General features: G+C 47.3%; 1 pseudogene; it reads right to left on the bottom strand.

Annotated features, from left to right (window-relative positions):
* Positions 1-4100: 4100 nt before the first annotated feature.
* LOC112268308 (paraneoplastic antigen Ma6F-like) lies at positions 4101-5876 on the bottom strand (annotated as a pseudogene).
* Positions 5877-18711: the final 12835 nt, after the last annotated feature.

Raw genomic sequence — 18711 nt, 5'->3', positions numbered from 1 at the left:
TGGCCACATACTATGCACCTAAGGCCTTATAAATCTATTTGAGCAATGATACTGTGTCTGGTACACAGCATCTGCAACTGGGATTACTACTTGATAAAGCATGAGGTAGTGTACACTCATTCTCCAGAATTCATCCAATTTCTACAGGGGACAGAACTGGCGGATAAAATGGAGATATGATGGGGACCACCATACCTGTTAATACATCCTAGAGGTCTTTAAAGTGGCTCTAACCTCCATTATGCCTCCTGCAAAATTGTTTTTAAGGTCACCTTCAGAGGCAGATAGATCCCCACTCAAAAATTGGCTAGGATGTTAAGACTGATGACACCACATACACACCAAGAGGACAAGAAAAGTTTCACTACTTATGTAATTGAGGGTTTTCAGGAGAGGGGAGCAGTCATCTCCAGCAATTCCAAAATGGCTTCTGGAAGCAAAGGAAGGAGAGTGGCCTAGGTTTTCACTGAGGTTAGAAGTGGGGGGCCAAGATGAGAATTCCCACATGGAGACAGGAAATTGCATGGTTTGAATTTCCTTCATGCAGCAAAGAAGGGAGCATGCAGGCTTTTTTGCCAACTTGCTCAGAGGTAAGTTACAATGGGAAAAGGAAAGGTCAGTTTCTAGGGAGAATAAAGACTGAGGCAGGTGCTTCTCCAAGCACTGCTGCTGCTCTGGGAAAGGGAGGATCTTAGTTACTTGAAAGTTAAACTTTAAAGTGGCCCGTGCTCTGCCTGGCCTTCAGTCAGGAAGGGGTTATATGCTAGAAGGAATATAAAGTACGGCCAAAAGACAAAACCACTGTGAAAAGAGATGACATTGGGCTTTCTCAGGTGCTTGGAACCCATGCCAGCACAGAAATTGCTTGACTTCGTATAAGCAGACCAGGAAGATACTGTGGACATAGACCAGACTGGGCAACAGAGCAAGACTGTGTCAAAAAAAAAAAAAATGACAATGGGAAAGTCACAACTGTGCTGTCACTCCCTGTGTAATAATTGAGCTTTCGTTGAATGATACTGAGGGCCTGTCCAGGCAGGAGTAAGAATGTTAGATTTCCAAATATACTGTTTGGGGTGCCATCACAAGCATCAAGGAGGCAGGAGATGGTATACCATACTGGACAGTTTAGGAGACATTTTGAGTATCAAAATGCATCAGCCCCCCATCCTTCACCTTTGGACTCATGCCAGAGCAACAGAGCCAGCAGGCTTGCTAACTGTTGACAGAAGGAGCACATCACAAACTGGAAGCGGTAGAGTGTAATGAAAGCAGCACGGGTCCCAGAATTAAGAAGTCTGGTTCTGCAATTTTGTAACCAGAGCAGTTCCCACCAATCTCTTGTCCTTGGTTTCTACCTTTAAACAAAGAGAGACTTCATGATCTCTGGGGCTAGGGAAAGTAAGGCTCCACTGCCCTGCAGGATGTCAGGATGACGCCACCCCCATGGCGCTCCCTCATCAAACTCCTAGGGAACAAAGTCCCTCCTCACTGAGCCCCACAGACGAGCCCCGGTCAGCCCAAGGGCCCAGCATGGTTGGAGGGTCCAGCTGCCCTCCCTGTCTGCACGTCCACACCCCCTTACCCTGGACAGCCCTGACGACCGTTGTCTGGTGTCCCAGAGCCATGGCCGCCAGGGCTCCCTGCGAAACAAGCTCAGGCCACAGGAGCCCCGTTCGGCCCCCGCGGGACCGCGCTCCCTCCCGCCGGCGACGGTCCACGCGCGGTCACCCCAAGGCCACTCTGGCCACGGCTGCAGACCTTGAGCGTGGGAAGGGGCAGCCAGCTCCTCGGGCCCATTCGTGATCCTCGGGCGTCCTCTGGCGGCCAGAGCGGGCGTGACCTCAGGAGAATCCCCGCCGAGGCCGAACTCGCCCCGATGGCCGTTTCGCTTTGTGGACGGTCGCATTTTCCCAGCGGGCACTGCGACCGACTGTGACTGTGGTTCCGGGTATGGTGGTTGCACGCCTGTGGTCCCAGCTAGTCGGGAGGCTGAGGCGGGAGAATCGCTTGAGCCCAGGAGGTCGGGGTTGCAGTGAGCTATGACAGCGCCACTACACTCCACCCTGGGCAACAGAGCGAGACCATTTCTCAAAAAGAATAAAATGACAACCGGAAATATACGACCGTGCTGTCGCGGCTGCAGGAAATGGCGGCGTGCCCAGGCGCACTCATGACGGCTGCGTGCTCGTCAAGGTGCACAGGCGCGCACGCGTAGCGTACACTGGTGAAAGTTGCGCATTTGGACAGGCGACACGTCCTGCGCCCGCTACCCAGACTCTGGGGAAGGCAAGGGGTGCCGCTCTGTTCTACTCCTTTTCCTTATCCATCTCTTCTGTCTTTCCAAAGAGATGGTGAAAGCTCCACACACAGGATAAACATGAGGAACTGAGGAACAGTTAAAAAGATGTCTATGCTAGAGCTTCAACCCAGGCCTCCGCCCCAGCCTGCTGTCCCCTGCCTGCCCTTCCACGTCTTATGCACTTCGTTCTGGGAGCCTCCATGCATGCCCTGGGGAGCAAGCCACACATTGCCCTCGCACGGCAGTGTTCCGTCAACTGGCACCATCCAGCATGTTCAGCTTGGTTTCTTTCCTCATCCTCATAAGCCACTGACTCTGGGTTGGAACCACCATCGCAGTTAGGTCATTCTCTACAATCGCTGGCCTACTATGCCCTGACCGTATCCCAGTGAGCACAATAGGGTCAGAATTCCAGGCCACTGTTGTCCCCCAACTTCCATTTTATCCCAAAGAGACCTTTCCCACTAGTTTCCCACAGCAGAGGCGAGACCGGCTGGAAAATGGAATGAAATTTATTGAAGAGAAACGTGTACCGAAATCACTGAAAAGAAGGGAACCACAACACAGAGAGAAACTGCAAACAGCCACTACAGGACACAGGTCCTAGGATCCCTCCTCCTGGGGTTCCTGGCAAGGCGCCTCGTCTACCCCCGTCCTGCTGCCGACCCCACTGCTACCTCCCTCCTTCCCGAGGGCCCCAGGGCCCGCCTCTTGCCAGGACGTGGACTCTGGCAGTGTCCACCGGCTTCAGGGAGCCCCCTCCCAAGCCCATCTGCTGGGGCAGGGCCCTGCCCTATAGTCATCACAGACAGTCACAGGACACCAGTAAACACAGCAGGGAACAGCCCACCAGGTCGAGGAAACAGTCACAAGTAACAACAGGGGTGGAATGCCAAAGCATAAAGCTCTCCTGGGAGCCTCAGGCAGGGCAGCCCCACTCCGTCCCGGGTCCGGCTCTTCCTCCCACAGTCATGGTTACCATCGTGGTCACAGGGTGAGCATTGGCCGCGCCCTGGTTCCTCCTTCCCGCCATCTCCTGGGTCTGTGCTGGGGGCCTCCGGGGAGGAGCAGCTCAGAGAAGAACACACACAGCTCCACGAGAACAAGCAGCCACTGGCCTAGATCTACACCAGGAAAGCAGAGGTGGTGTTTAAGATGCAGGACAGACAGCAGTGAGCAGAACCTGGGCTCACAGGAAGCTCACAGCACATGCCCCGGGCCTAGTGGCGGCCGCCCGGGTGGGTGCACAACACACAACTTTGCACAGGAACGACAGCTAGCAGTGGGTGGGCGTCTGCTGGGCGCGTGGGTCACTACGGGGCCTAAACAGGTGAGGGTGGGCTTCCCAGAACAGGGGGCAGCCTGCCCCGGGGACGGCAAATGGGGCAACCCTCTTGGGAGACCCAGGCAGCTGGCACCCTTGAGAGGACCTCTTTCCCCTGTCTCTCCCAACCCAGGACAAGGGGTGGGGGACAGACATCTTCAGGTGCCCCCACCCAGGTCGCAGCTGGCCACTCAGGGCTCCCTCCTGGCCAGCCCCCCAGAGACGGCAGGGTTTGGGGCTGGGGCTGGGTGCAGCACTGGGTGCAAAGCAGGGGTGCCTCCCCCAACCCCATTTGGTATCAACGTGGTCATCTGGGTCACCGGGAAGGGCTGATGGTGGTGGCCAGGGCCCTTTGGAGGGAGGTGGGGGGCCCCGATCCTGATGTGGGATGAGGGACCAGCCCTGGCCTGGCCTCCCCACTGCCTCCAGGATGCTGCGGCCTGAGAGGAGAGGAGGCCCTGGGGCCCTCTGAGCCTATTTGCCTGGGGAGGATTTGGGCTGACCAACCTTCCTGGCCCCATCCTCATTTTCCAACTCCTCCAGTATGAACATAAGACCCCCTTGGGTCGGGGGGCTCCTCAGCCTCCTGGCCTCCTGCCTGGACAAGACCCTCTGGCTCCTTCGAGGCCTGCAGGGGCATTTTCACCTTCCCTAATGGCAGGGGTGCTCCTGGCGGCCTCTTTGGTGGCAGGAGCAGTCTCAGCAGCATCTTCCACGCCAGGGTCAGCCTGGCTGGCGTCTTCCTGGGCTGAGGAGGCCTGAGCAGCATCTCCACAGGCAGGAGCTGCCTGGGCGGCAACTGGATCTTCACTTTCCACTGTGGCCACTGGCCAGGCCACAACATGCTGGCTCCTCACTGGGGAGGCCGCCCACGCCTCCATCTCCTGGATGAGCTGAAGCAGCCCCAGGAAGTAGGGCGGCCTCCTCTCCAGTGCATCCCCCTCAGGGTATTCTGGAGTGCTTCGCCAGGGCAGGCCTGAGGCTGCACCTACCGCAGTCACAGGTGGTTGGCCAGGGCCGGGCAGACGGCCCCCTTCTCCAGGGCCATCTGCAGCAGGCCTTCCAGGCATACCAGGAAGGCAAAGGGCCCCTGCGTTCAGGTCAGGAACTTCAGCCTGGAAGTCATTCGAGGGTCCCGGTTTCCAAACGCCTGCCCCAGCACCGCTGCCCAGCAGTCCAGCAGCGCCTGGCAGTCCAGTGCCGCCAAGTTGGGATCTTCCTCTAGGAGGCCGCTCACAACGTCCAGGGCTGGGCCACCCAAGCTCTCCAGCAGCCATCTCTTCCTCTCCCTTTCCGACGCATGGTACCACAGCTGCAGCATATCCTTGGCGTGCTCCATCCAGCTCTCAAAGGACTCTTCCTCGCAGCCTGGCTGCTCCCTCCCTGAAAAGGGTCTCAGTTCCTGGTAGGCCCTGTTTTCCAGCACAGCCTGCAGGGTGCAGCGCCGAGGCTGGACCCAGGCTCTTGTTACATTTGTCCCTCTTGCCTCACCCACAGCTCCTGCCTCACCCGCAGCTCCTGCCTCACCCACAGCTCCTGCCTCACCCACAGCTCCTGCCTCACCTGCAGGTCCTGTATCACCTGCGGCTCCCTCATCTGACTCTCTTGCCTCTTCTGCAACTCTCAACTCATCTCCAGCTCCTCCCTCACCTGCACCTTCTGCCTCACTTGCAGATCCTCCCTCACCTGTGGCTTCTGCCTCACCCTTACCCACAGCTCCTGTTTCACCTATGGCTCCTGCTGCACCTGCAGCTCCTCCATCACCTGCCTCTTCTTCCTCACCTGCAGCTCCTGCCTCACCTGCAGATCTTTCCTCATTCACACCTCCTGCCTCACCTACAGATCCTGCCTCACCTGCAGCTCCTGCCTCACCTGCACCTCTGGCCACTGCTTGCCCCTGGGGCTATGCAGGGAAACTGGGTATATCCTGAAACTCAGCATCAAGGGCCTGGGGCAGGGAGATCACTTTCCAGGGTCCCCCTTTGCCTGCTATTTGGCGGGGAATCAAGCTTTGGTTTAAACCCTCAGCGAATTCCACCAAGGCTGCCCTGGCCCCGAGCTCCTTTCTGAAGACCTTGATGAGCACTCGGTACCTGCCCAGGGGCGACAGGGCAGCCCGCACGGCCTCCTGGAACTCATGTTCCTCGCAGTCGTCAGGGATATCCAGGATGAGCAGAGAGCGCTCTGCGTTCACACCCATCCTCCTGCACCAGTCCCGAAGCATCGCCAGAGCCATCGCAGAGGACTTGAGGGAGGGAGCCTGATCAGACAGGAATGTGTGCTGACTGTTGCAGTCTCTGACGCAGCCTGTGAGTGCAAAGGGGAGAGAGGGACGTTGCTGCCAGTCAGCCCACCCCCACCGCACAGCCAGAGACCAGCCACTCCCAAATGCAGGGCCTGAAGCATCTCCCCTGCCCAGTGTCACAGCCCATGCTCCCCCACCCCTACTGCTGCAGCTCAGAGTCCTTCACTGCACCCCCCACCTCCACAGCAGGAAGCGCCTCTTTCACCTGGTGAACAGCCCCTGATCACAAAACTTACAGCTGGAGCCCCTCCAACCATCATGTGCAACCCTGCAGCTGGATGTGCCCACCTCCTCTTTTTCCCAGCACTTGACCAGGAGCCCTCTCCCTAATGCCATCCTCCCTGCAACCTGGCAACCCCCTCCCACGCCTCCCACATCAGCAGCCAGGAGTCCCCTTCCCCCACAGCCAGAGCCCCTCTCTCTCCCATCGTCCCCTTCTGTAGCCAGAGGTGCCCTGCAGCCAGGAGCTCACCCCACCCAGACTCCTGCAGCAAGGAGACCCTCCTCCCCTCTCCTCAGGCTCCAGACCAGGACCCGCTGTCGCACCTACTGCCTGGGGGGACAGCGATCTGGCTCCTGCCCAGTGTGCCCTCAGCCACTCTGGGGTCCCGCTGGTGCCTGCTCACTGTCTGCAGACACTGCAACCACCCACGGGGAAATGCCACCTTCAGGCTGTGGAGCCCACTCTGGAGGCCGCCTTGAGGCCCTGGAATGGGAAGGTGGAAGATCGCGCCCCAGCAGCCCATCTGGGACTGCACAGGGCAGGGATATCTCAGGCCAGCTGTACTAAGGGCACGTGGGCTTCCAACTTCTCCCAGAAGCCTCAGATAGATGAGGGAGAAAAATCTCAGAGTCTCTGTGGGAGGCAAATAGCTAAACAGGGGGAGGCATCCGTGTTGCCCTGGGATCGGGACCTGCGCGGTAAGGGCTTGATGTGCCTCCGGGGGCAACAGGCCCAACCATCAAAATGGCCTAGTGGAAGTGTTGAGAGAGAAAGGGGATTGGAAACTGGCAGAGAGGAAGCTTATGCTTAGGGGCAGCGTCTGGAAGCTGGGAGTTGGTGGACAGCCAGGTACTAGGACTCCAGACTAGGTCCCCCAAATCACTACATTCACAGGCCTACCTCCTCATTGCAGGAATCTCCACAACAGGAAGAGGCTAGCTGTTCCTGACTCAAGAGCCTCATCATAGTTCTTAGGCTACAAAGCCAGCCTTCACCACCTAGGAAGCCATTGCATTGGAAAGAGTGTGTACGGCCTTTGGAAGCAGGCAAAGCTGGCTTCACCTAGCAGCTGGGTGGCTTTGCACAAACCACTGAACATCTCTGTTTCTCATCTGTAAATGAGCAATAAGAACATTTTTCTTGCAGGGGAGTCATGGAGCTTTACCTTCTATTAGACACACGGTAAGCCTTCAGTAAATAACCACAAGGGCACAGGAATGAAAAAGGGTGGTGTGGCCAAGAATGGTGTGGGTATTGGAGGCTGGTTGTGGCAGCCAGCTCAGTGGTCCCAGGTCTGAGCTCTGAGAAAAAGCAGGATGTGAGTGGGAACATTGGAACCATTTTCCTGAGGAATGCAAGGATTGGCCAATGTGAAAATATGACTTTCTGTTTCTGCAGGCCTTGGTCAAGAGAGGCATTTGGGAAACTCAGCCAGTCTCTGCCATGTCTAGGACTGGCTACCCATCTGGCCAGCAGCTTTGGGAGTTTCCTGAGAGTGAACCCTTGATGCATCCTTGAGCACTGCTGCACAGGCACCACTGCCCTCACGTCACTTCCCCAGCCACCAATAGGAACAACAGGAAGAGTAAGAGAGTAAGGGTACGAGGGGCAGAAGCAGACCACATGTGACAAAGTGTAGGTGAGGGACTTGCCTGTGAACTCTTGTAGTAGATTTATATATATATACACACATATATACATATACATATACACACATATACACATATATATACACATATATATACACACATATATATACATATACATATACACACATATACACATATATATACACATATATATACACACATATATATACATATACATATACACACATATACACATATATATACACATATATATACACACACATATATATACGTATATAAAAATATATATATAAATCTCTCTCTATATATATATAGAGAGAGAGAGAGAGAGTAGAGAGAGAGAGGGAGAGAGGGAGGGAGAGAGAGAGAGAGAGATGGAGTCTTGCTCTGTCACCCAGGCTGGAGTGCAGTGGCGTGATTTCGGCTCACTGCAAGCTCCGCCTCCTGGGTTCAAGCGATTCTCCTGCCTCAGCCTCCCGAGTAGCTGGGACTACAGGTGCGTGCCACCACGCCTAGCTAATTTTTTGCATTTTTAGTAGAGACAGGTTTTCACCGTGTTAGTCAGGATGGTCTCGATCTCCTGACCTCGTGATTGGCCTGCCTTGACCTCCCAAAGTGTTGGGATTGATTTTTTAATGTCCCTGGTTCTCCATTTGTAATATGATTTCAAAACTCCTTCTATCACAAGTTAGAGTCAGTTTCCCTACCTCTGGAATCTAGGCTGGCCTAGAGACTTGCTTTGGAAAATGGAACATGAGAGAAGTGATGACATGCCAATTACTGTCGATCATGGGTCACATTTCCCTGTTACTTCACATGTTCTGGGTTTTTAAAAGTTGCATGTCAGGCATTGTGCTTCAAAGAACCATAGGGATTAGAGTACACTCTTTCCTTGGTTAGGTACTATAGTTTCCCTGAGGTATATAACTTCAATCCAATCAGAATTCGAGCTGTACCATGGCTTGCATACATCTTTAGTTAGTATTAGTATTAGATTTCAAACACCCTGAAGATAGGATTTGTGTTAAAGGCTGCTTCCTCCAGTTGCTAGAGTCAAGCAGAACTTTGGGGCCTAAATACAAGATTGATTCTCTCTCTCTCTCTCTCTCTCTCTGTCTCACCCCAGCCTGCCATATTACTTCTGTCACCACGCACTCAGAAAAAAAACTCATTAGGAGAATCCATTGATGGGGAGAACTAGGTATGCATTTGGGGCTCCTACAGATTCCAATGTGTCTACCCAGGCCACACAGTCATTAACTGTCTTTATCCCAGCAATTATTGCACCTATGGCCGGCACAATCCTCTGCCTTGTAAGACCATTCTTACCGGAGAGGACAATGGCCATTGATATGTGTTTGTCTCTCTCTGAAATTTAGTTACTTTAGACTTCAGGCAGGGCACGGTGGCTCATGCCTGTAATGCCAGCACTTTGGGAGGCCAAGGCGGCCGGATCACTTGAGTCCAGGAGTTTGAGACCAGCCTGGGCAGCATGGCAAAAACCCGTCACTACAAAAACCCAAAAATTAGCCAAGCATGGTGGCGTGCACCTGTAGTCCCACTTCTCAGGAGGCTGAGGTGGGAAGATCCTCTGAGCCAGGGAGACGGAGGTTGCAGTGAGCTGAGACTGTACCACTTCACTACAGCTGAGGTGACAGAGTGAGACACTGTCTCAATATATATGAGATTTTTGACCATCTGATTTTTTTATAGTTGTTACAATGAGATTAATGCTCTGTCATGACCTACATCCTAACCAGAACAAGTCTACTCCAAACCCACAAAGAAATGGGTCTGGAGTTCTTCTTCTTGAGACATTTTAAGTGATCTCTTTTAATCCTAGAAACTAGGTGGTAGGGGTATTCGGTGCACTTGAAATTTTGACTTGAGAGGGAAGGTGACCCTAGTGGATTTATAATTTCCCTAAGTTCCATTTCTGTAGAGCTAGGGATGTTCATATTGGTGGCTTACTTTTGCTCCCTGGCTTTACAAATAACAAGTGGACACAATTAAGTGCCAGGTTTGTCAATGGGAAAGTTGTGTAGACCTGGTTCATTGGACATTTTTCTGAGATGTATATTGGGTTATCACCAAGTGAGGTGATAACCTCATCCCAAATCTGCTATTAATAACAAAAATTGCATCGTAATGTAGAATGCTAGAACAATGGGATATTGCACAACTAGGCTCGAGGAGTTAATTTGGATTCAGTGGACAAGGTGCATATGCAATTGAGTGTTCAGTAACAAAATTTATCCTAAAACACAGAGGAATTTTGTATCCATATTTATTACCATAATTGTCCACAGTATGTATCAGTCTCTCCTGGAGATACCACATGGTGATAGACCAGCAAGACTGGACATATTTATGCTCACAGAAACATTTTCTGTTCTATCTGCAGTGCTATCACAGCTTACATGGTGGCACCTGGGGAAAGGTAACAAAAGCAGCTGACAGAAATAAGGGACCCAGTGGATAGTGATATAACAGAAGTGAGTAGGTGGTAAGAACTTGGTATAGTGGTATGGCTCCACGGTTTGCACATGGAAAATAATACATATAAGCTCCTAAGAACTGGAACTTCACTACACCCAGTCCTGAGGAGGAAATACTCCATGGCTCTCTCCCTCTGTGGGAAGTGGGGGGACTGTGGCTCCTTTGATACTCATGTTGCACCCACTGAGACCTGTGGTAAAAGTGTAGCTCATCCCAGGCTGAGCAAGGAAGAGCCATTCCTCCAAGCCCAAAGCAGTAGAAAGGATATCAGTCATCATTCCCCACTGGCTGCTGTCATCAGCATATGCACTGAGCTTGCCCAGAGGGCAGAAGACCTGCAACCCTTTCCTCCCCTTTCTTGATAGTGTCCTTAGATGCACGAACGTTTTTGTTTTTGTTTTTGTTTTTGTTTTGTATGAAGTCCAATTTATCTATTCTTTCCTTTGGTTGCTTGTGGTGTCATATCTAAGAAACCATTGCCTAATCCAAGTTCATGAAGATCAACATCTATGTTTTCTTCTAAGAGGGCTGTAGTTTGAGCCCTTCGATTTAGGTGTTTAGTTCATTTTGAGTTTATATAGGATGTGAGGTGGGGGTCTGAATTAACTGTTTTACAAGTGGAAATACAGTTGTCTTAGCACCATTTGTTGACAAGATTTTTTTTTCCCATAGAATGGTTTTGGTGTCCTTGTCAAAAGTTCACTTGACAATATATATACGGTTTTATTTATAGACTCTAAATTCTATTTCATTGATGCCAGTATCATAGTCTTTTTTTTTTTTTTTCGAGACAGGGTTTCACTCTGTTGCCCAGGCTGGAGTACAGGGATACAGTTACAGCTCACTGCAGCCTTGACCTTTTGGGCTCAACCTATCCTCCTGCCTCAGCCTCCTGAGTGGCTAGGAACACAGGCCCAAGTCACTAGGCCCAGATATTTTTCCTTTTTTTTGGTAGAAATGGTGTCTCTCTATGTTTCCTAGGCTGGTATCAAACTCCTGGCCTCAAGGAATCTTCCTGTCTTGGCCTCCCAAAGTTCTGGGATTACAAGCATGAGCCACCGCACCCAGCTCCAAAAAATATTTAGCCTCTCTGTACCATATAAAGACCAGAAGGAAAAATAATATAAATACAAATATAAATTTATGCATAGTAATTAATATTTCAGTATTTTTACTTAGAAATAATCTAGCCATTTAATGAATATCTATTACTTAATTTAGCATAACATAAGGTTGTAAGTTATCCCCTAAAAATTGGAAACTGTTTTTAACCATATTATAAATATTGTTGAAATAAAAGTTATCATCAGAATAATGACTCGATTAAACTCAAATTTATATTCTGTGAAATCTTAAATATCTAACAGATACAGTGTTAACTTTTTGACTAGGAAGCCTATATAAGCTTAGTAAGAACATACCCAGGTAATATAAATATGTATGTTTGTATTATGCTTAATGCTGATAACTCAGAGACATAGCTGTTTTTATTAAAGCAGATATCTATTTACAACTATATCTACATCTATTTAGAGACGGAGTTTCTCTCTGTCATCCAGGCTGGGTTCCAGCAATCCTCCCACCTCAGCCTTCTGAGCAGCTAGGACTACAGGTGCATAACACCATGTCCAGCTACTTTTTAAATTTTTGGTAGAAACAGGGTATCGCTATGTTGCTAAGGCTGGTCTCGAACTCCTGGCCTCAAGTAACCTTCCTGTTTTGGCCTCTCAAAGTGCTAGGATTACATGCATGACCCACTGGGTCTGGCCTTAAGCTAACTCTTCTTTATCAAAGATTTACTAAATGATGTGATGTTGAGTTTTTAAAGCATTTGGGTTAGTTTCTAAATTCTTGAGAGTTTTAGTTTAATTTATATAAGTGCTTATTTATCTCCAGGATACCTAGAATGGAGCTCCTTTAAAGGATTTATAAGTTTGTTTGGTAATACCATCTATAGTCAGGAAAATATCACATATACATAACATACACATATACATACATACATGTATACATAAACATACACACAGATACAAATACAGATCTTATGGCTTTATTTCTAAATTTTCAGCCAGGACTCAGGCATAAACACAAAAATACAAAACTCACGGTTTAATTTTTTTAATTGGCTTTCATCTTTGACACAGCTTTAAATTTTTTTTTTTTTTTTTTTTTTTTTTTTTTTTTTTGAGACGGAGTCTCGCTCTGTCGCCCAGGCTGGAGTGCAGTGGCGGGATCTCGGCTCACTGCAAGCTCCGCCTCCCGGGTTCACGCCATTCTCCTGCCTCAGCCTCCCACACCTTTAAATTTTGACGAAGATTGTGTTTTTGGTAGATGGGACAAGACGGGGTTACCTGCTCAATAAGAAGGCTGAAGCATCCCACTAATATTTGTAAAGGAGATTTGTAAGATTTTCTTTTGCCCTGATGTATAATCCAATAAGAAGCTATAGACTAAATTTTGGGTGAGGGACCAAAGAGACATCAAGTGGATGTCTGGATGTCTCAAAAATCCATCTGAGTGGATATAATATCCACAGTGGTCCCAGTGAGCCTTTTCATCCTTGAGTGATTGATTTTGAGGTCCCTGAGCACCTGGCGAGCCCTCGATGGGGGAAGGGTGCCTGAAGCCCTAGTGACTATAGGCAGCTAAGAGGCCTGAGTGGGAATGGAAAGGCCTGCTGAAGAGTGGATAGAGGGGTGCAGGAAGTAGAGGTGTTGAAGGGGACAGATGAAAAAATTCAGGGAGCTGAAGGAAAGGTCCAAGGTGGTGAACAGGAGGGAGGAGGGATGAGGGAGGGGGAGAGTGACAAGAAGCGGGAAATCTTAGATAAGCCGGTTTAGGGAGACCCCAAGTTCTCAAAGAGGCCATTGCAGTTCCAAATTGGCTGTAAAATTTTGCCATTTCTGGAGCTAGTGAACTGAGTCAGTGCCTTTATGGCTAAGCATGTAAACAGCGGGGAAGAAAGGAGAAAAGGCGACTGACACAGTAAGAATTACCCATAGAATTAACAAATAGTTAAACTAAAGAGAAGAAAAACTTGTAAGTGACCAGAAAGTAGTCCCACTTACTTAATTTTTCACACTCCCTGTGTCTGAGAACGAAGAGAACACCCCACACAGTCCTTGAATTCAGAAGCCTAAGGATCCCCTCCCCAATTTCTGGGTTCCAAGAGCCAAGGGACCCACTACCACCCTTCTCGATTTCCAGATTCAGAGAGGCAAGGGAACCCTCCCATCGAATCTCTGGGTTCAGAAAGCCAAGGGAACCCCTCTCAATCTCTGGGTTGAAGAGTGGAGGGAATCTCCTTGCACAGTTTCCAGGTACCAGGTAGCCAATGAAATTCCCACAAAATGCCCAGGTTAGGGGAGCCTAGGAACAATAGAAGATGCCTCATGGAAGGTGCAAAGAAAAGTTGTTTTGCCAGAATAAAACTCTTTAGTACCATGTTACAAGAGACAAGTGTCTGGTCACTGAATTCCATAAGAGCGTGTAACTCACCACCATGAACCTCAATTTCCCCAGTCAAGAAAGGAGACAAAGAGTCTGAGAAGCTGGTGTGGATATCCAGGTGAAGACAGGAGTAGTCGTCAGCATGCCAGCAGATATGCTGCACCATTAACTAATACATAAAAATAAATCCCTCTGGATATATACCCAGAAGTTGGATTGTTGGGTCATATGGCCATTATATTTCTAATTTTCTGAGGAACCTCCATACTTATTTCCTAATGGCTGCACCAAGCTACATCCCCATCAACAGTGTACAGGAGTTTCCTTTTCTCCACATCCTTACCAACACATGTTGTCTTTTGACATTTTGATAATAGCTATCCTAACAGATGTAAGTGATACCTCACAGTGTTTATGATTGGCATTTCCCTGATGATCAGTGATGCTGAGCACCCTTTCATGTGCCTGTTGGCCATTTGTATGTCTTCTATGAAAAAATGTCTATTGGGTCCTTTGTACATTTTATAATTGGGTTATTTGGTTTTTGCTATTGAGTTATATGAGCTCCTTATATATTTTAGATAGTAACTCCTTATCTGATACATGGCTTACAAATATTTTCTTCAATTCTGTAGTCTGCCTTTTCATTTTGTTGTTTCCTTTGCTGTGCAGAAGCTTTTTGGTTTGATGTAGTCCCGCTTATTTATTTTTGCTTTTGTTGCCTGAGCTTTTGGTGTCATATTCAAACTATAATTGTCAAGATCAATGTCAAGGAGCTTTCCCCTTGGGTTTTATTTTAGGAATTTTGTGGTATCAGGGCTTACATTTAAGTCTTTAATCCATTTTGAATTCACTATTGTGTATGGTGTAAGAGAAGGGTCTAATTTCTCTTTTTTGCATGTGGATATACAGGTTTCCATACAATTTATTGAAAAGTTTATCCTTTTGTTATCAAACTGAACTGGGGTCCGCTCACCTGGCACAGTAAAACCAGATATCCACACCAAGGTTTGCAGTGGTAGAAATGAAGGTGCTTATTTGCAGGGCACTAAGCAAGGAGGATCAGGCAGCTAATGCTCAAATCCAGGCCTCTCCAGCGGCTTGCAGGTAAGGGCTTTTAAAGGCAGGAGTAAATTTCACGAAAGCAAAAGTTACAGGCCAATTCATAAATCAATATACATGGAGGTTACACGTTGGTTTTGGCCTAAAAGGATGGGATATCTTGAAGTGAGGGGGATATCTTGAAGTGAGGGCTTAAAGGCTGTAAATAGATACAGAGATTTTCTGATTTGCAGTTGGTTGAGAAACTTTGTTTAAAATTTTGGGGTCAGCAGAAAAGAATGCTAGCTCTGGCTCGTGGGTGGGCTGTAACTTTCTCCAGGCCCCTCATGAAGAAATTTGGAACAAAGAGGGGTGGTCAGAGTTCAGTCCACAGCTCTACCTTTTCTGAGGTTTGCATGCCACAGCATCCATTTGGTGGGGGTCCAAGTTTCTGAAAAACAACTTAGAGACATATGTGAAGATGTTATCTTTAGTTTCTATAAGGGAACAAAACATCCTGTGATTCTAGCGTCCTGGGCTATTGTGGTTTTTGTGTGTTTTGTTTTGTTTTTGCTTTCGAACTTTTAAGTTCAGGGGGTACATGTGCAGGTTTGTTACATGGGTAAATTGGGTGTCATGGCAGTTTGGTGTACAGATTGTTTTGTAACGCAGGTAATGAGCATAGTACTCAGTAGGTAGTTTCTCACTTGTCACCCTCCTTCTACCCTCCACTCTCAAGTAGGTCCCAGTGTCTATTGTCCCCTTTTTTATGTCCATGTGTACTCAGTGTTTACCTCCCACTTATAAGTGAGAACATGTGGTATTTGCTTTTACCTTCCCACATCAATTCACTTCGGATAACAGCATCCAGTCCATTCATGTTGCTACAAAGAACAGATTTTATTCATTTTATGGCTGTATAGTATTCCATGGTGTATATGTACCATGTTTTATTTATCCAGTCTACAATTGATGGGCATTTAGGTTGATTCTGTGTCTTTGCTATACTGAATAGCACTGCAGAGAACATACACGTGCAGGTGTCTTTATCATAGAACAATTTATATTTCTTTGGATATATACCCAGTAATGAGGTTGCTGGGTCAAAGGATAGTTTGTTTTTTTTTTAAATTGAATATTATAAGAATTGCATTTTTTAATTATACTTTAAGTTCTAGGGTACCTGTGCACAATGGGCAGGTTTGTTACATATGTATACGTGTGCCATGTTGGTGTGCTGCACCCATTAACTAGTCATTTATATTAGGTATATCTCCTAATGCTATCCCTCCCCCTTCCCCCCACCCCACGACAGGCCCTGGTGTGTGATGTTCCCCTTCCTGTGTCCAAGTGTTCTCATTGTTCAATTCCCACCTATGAGTGAGAACATGCGGGTTTCTGTCCTTACAATAGTTTGCTGAGAATGATGGCTTCCAGCTTCATCCATGTCCCTACAAAGGACATGAACTCATCCTTTTTTATGGCTGCATAGTATTCCATGGTGTATATGTGCCACATTTTCTTAATCCAGGCTATCATTGTTGGACATTTGGGTTGGTTCCAAGTCTTTGCTATTGTGAATAGTGCCGCAATAAACATACGTGTGCATGTGTCTTTATAGCAGCATGATTTATAATCCTTTGGGTATATACCCAGTAATGGGATGGCTGGGTCAAATGGTATTTCTAGTTCTAGATCCTTGAGGAATCACCACACTGACTTCCACAATGGTTGAATTAGTTTACAGTCCCACCAACAATGTAAAATTGTTCCTATTTCTCCACATCCTCTCCAGCACCTGTTGTTTCCTGACTTTTTAATGATTGCCATTCTAACTGGTGTGAGATGGTATCTCATTGTGGTTTTGATTTGCATTTCTCTGATGGCCAGTGATGATGAGCATTTTTTCATGTGTCTTTTGGCTGCATAAATGTCTTCTTTTGAGAAGTGTCTGTTCATATCCTTTGCCCACTTTTTGATGGGGTTGTTTTTTCTTGTAAATTTGTTTGAGTTCTTTGTAGATTCTGGATATTAGCCCTTTGTCAGATGAGTAGATTACAAAAATTTTCTCCCGTTCTGTAGATTGCCTGTTCACTCTGATGGTAGTTTCTTTTGCTGTGCAGAAGCTCTTTAGTTTAATTAGATCCCATTTGTCAATTTTGGCTTTTGTTGCCATTGCTTTTGGTGTTTTAGACATGAAGTCTTTGCCCATGCCTATGTCTTGAATGGTATTGCCTAGGTTTTCTTCTAGGGTTTTTGGTTTTAGGTCTAACATTTAAGTCTTTAATCCATCTTGAATTAATTTTTGTATAAGGTGTAAGGAAGGGATCCAGTTTCAGCTTTCTATATATGGCTAGCCAGTTTTCCCAGCACCATTTATTAAATAGGGAATCCTTTCCCCATTGCTTGTTTTTGTCAGGTTTGTCAAAGATCAGATGGTTGTCGGTGTGTAGTATTATTTCTGAGGGCTCTGTTCTGTTCCATTGGTCTATATCTCTGTTTTGGTACCAGTACCATGCTGTTTTGATTACTGTAGCTTTGTAGTATAGTTTGAAGTCAGGTAGCGTGATGCCTCCAGCTTTGTTCTTTTGGCTTAGGATTGTCTTGACAATGCAGGCTCTTTTTTGGTTCCATATGAACTTTAAAGTAGTTGTTTTCAGTTCTGTGAAGAAAGTCATTGGTAACTTGATGAGGATGGCATTGAATCTATAAATTACCTTGGGCAGTATGGCCATTTTCACAATATTGATTCTTCCTACCCATGAGCATGGAATGTTCTTCCATTTGTTTGTGTCCTCTTTTATTTCGTTGAGCAGTGGTTTGTAGTTCTCCTTGAAGAGGTCCTTCACATCTCTTGTAAGTTGGATTCCTAGGTATTTTATTCTCTTTGAAGCAATTGTGAATGGGAGTTCACTCATGATTTGGCTCTCTGTTTGTCTGTTATTGGTGTATAAGGATGCTTGTGATTTTTGCACATTAATTTCGTATCCTGAGACTTTGCTGAAGTTGCTTATCAGCTTAAGGAGATCTTGGGCTGAGATGATGGGGTTTTCTAAATATACAATCATATCATCTGCAAACAGGGACAGTTTGACTTCCTCTTTTCCTAACTGAATACCCTTCATTTCTTTTTCCTGCCTGATTGCCCTGGCCAGAACTTCCAACACTATGTTGAACAGGAGTGGTGAGAGAGGGCATCCCTCTCTTGTGCCAGTTTTCAAAGGGAATGCTTCCAGTTTTTACCCATTCAGTATGATATTGGCTGTGGGTTTGTCATAAGTAGCTCTTATTATTTTGAGATACGTCCCATCAATACCTAATTTATTGAGAGATTTTAGCATGAAGGGCTGTTGAATTTTGTCAAAGGCCTTTTCTGCATCTATTGAGATAATCATGTGGTTTTTGTCTTTGGTTCTGTTTATATGCTGGATTACATTTATTGATTTGTGTATGTTGAACCAGCCTTGCATCCCTGGGATGAAGCCCACTTGATCGTGGTGGATAAGCTTTTTGATTTGCTGCTGGATTCTGTTTGCCAGTATTTTATTGAGAATTTTTACATCGATGTTCATCAGGGATATTGGTCTAAAATTCTCTTTTTTTGTTGTGTCTCTGCCAGGCTTTGGTATCAGGATGATGCTGGCCTCATAAAATGAGTTAGGGAGGATTCCCTCTTTTTCTATTGATTGGAATATTTTCTGAAGGAATGGTACCAGTTCCTGCTTGTACCTCTGGTAGAATTCGGCTGTGAATCCGTCTGGTCCTGGACTTTTTCTGGTTGGTAGGCTATTAATTATTGCCTCAATTTCAGAGTCTGTTATTGGTCTATTCAGGGATTCAACTTCCTCCTGGTTTAGTCTTGGGTGGGTGTATGTGTCCAGGAATTTATCCATTTCTTCTAGATTTTCTAGTTTATTTGCGTAGAGGTGTTTATAGTATTCTCTGATGGTAGTTTGT

Source organism: Homo sapiens, chromosome X (assembly GCF_000001405.40).
Source record: "Homo sapiens chromosome X, GRCh38.p14 Primary Assembly".
Lineage (NCBI taxonomy): Eukaryota > Metazoa > Chordata > Mammalia > Primates > Hominidae > Homo > Homo sapiens.
This window is presented reverse-complemented; position numbering and strand designations above follow the sequence as displayed.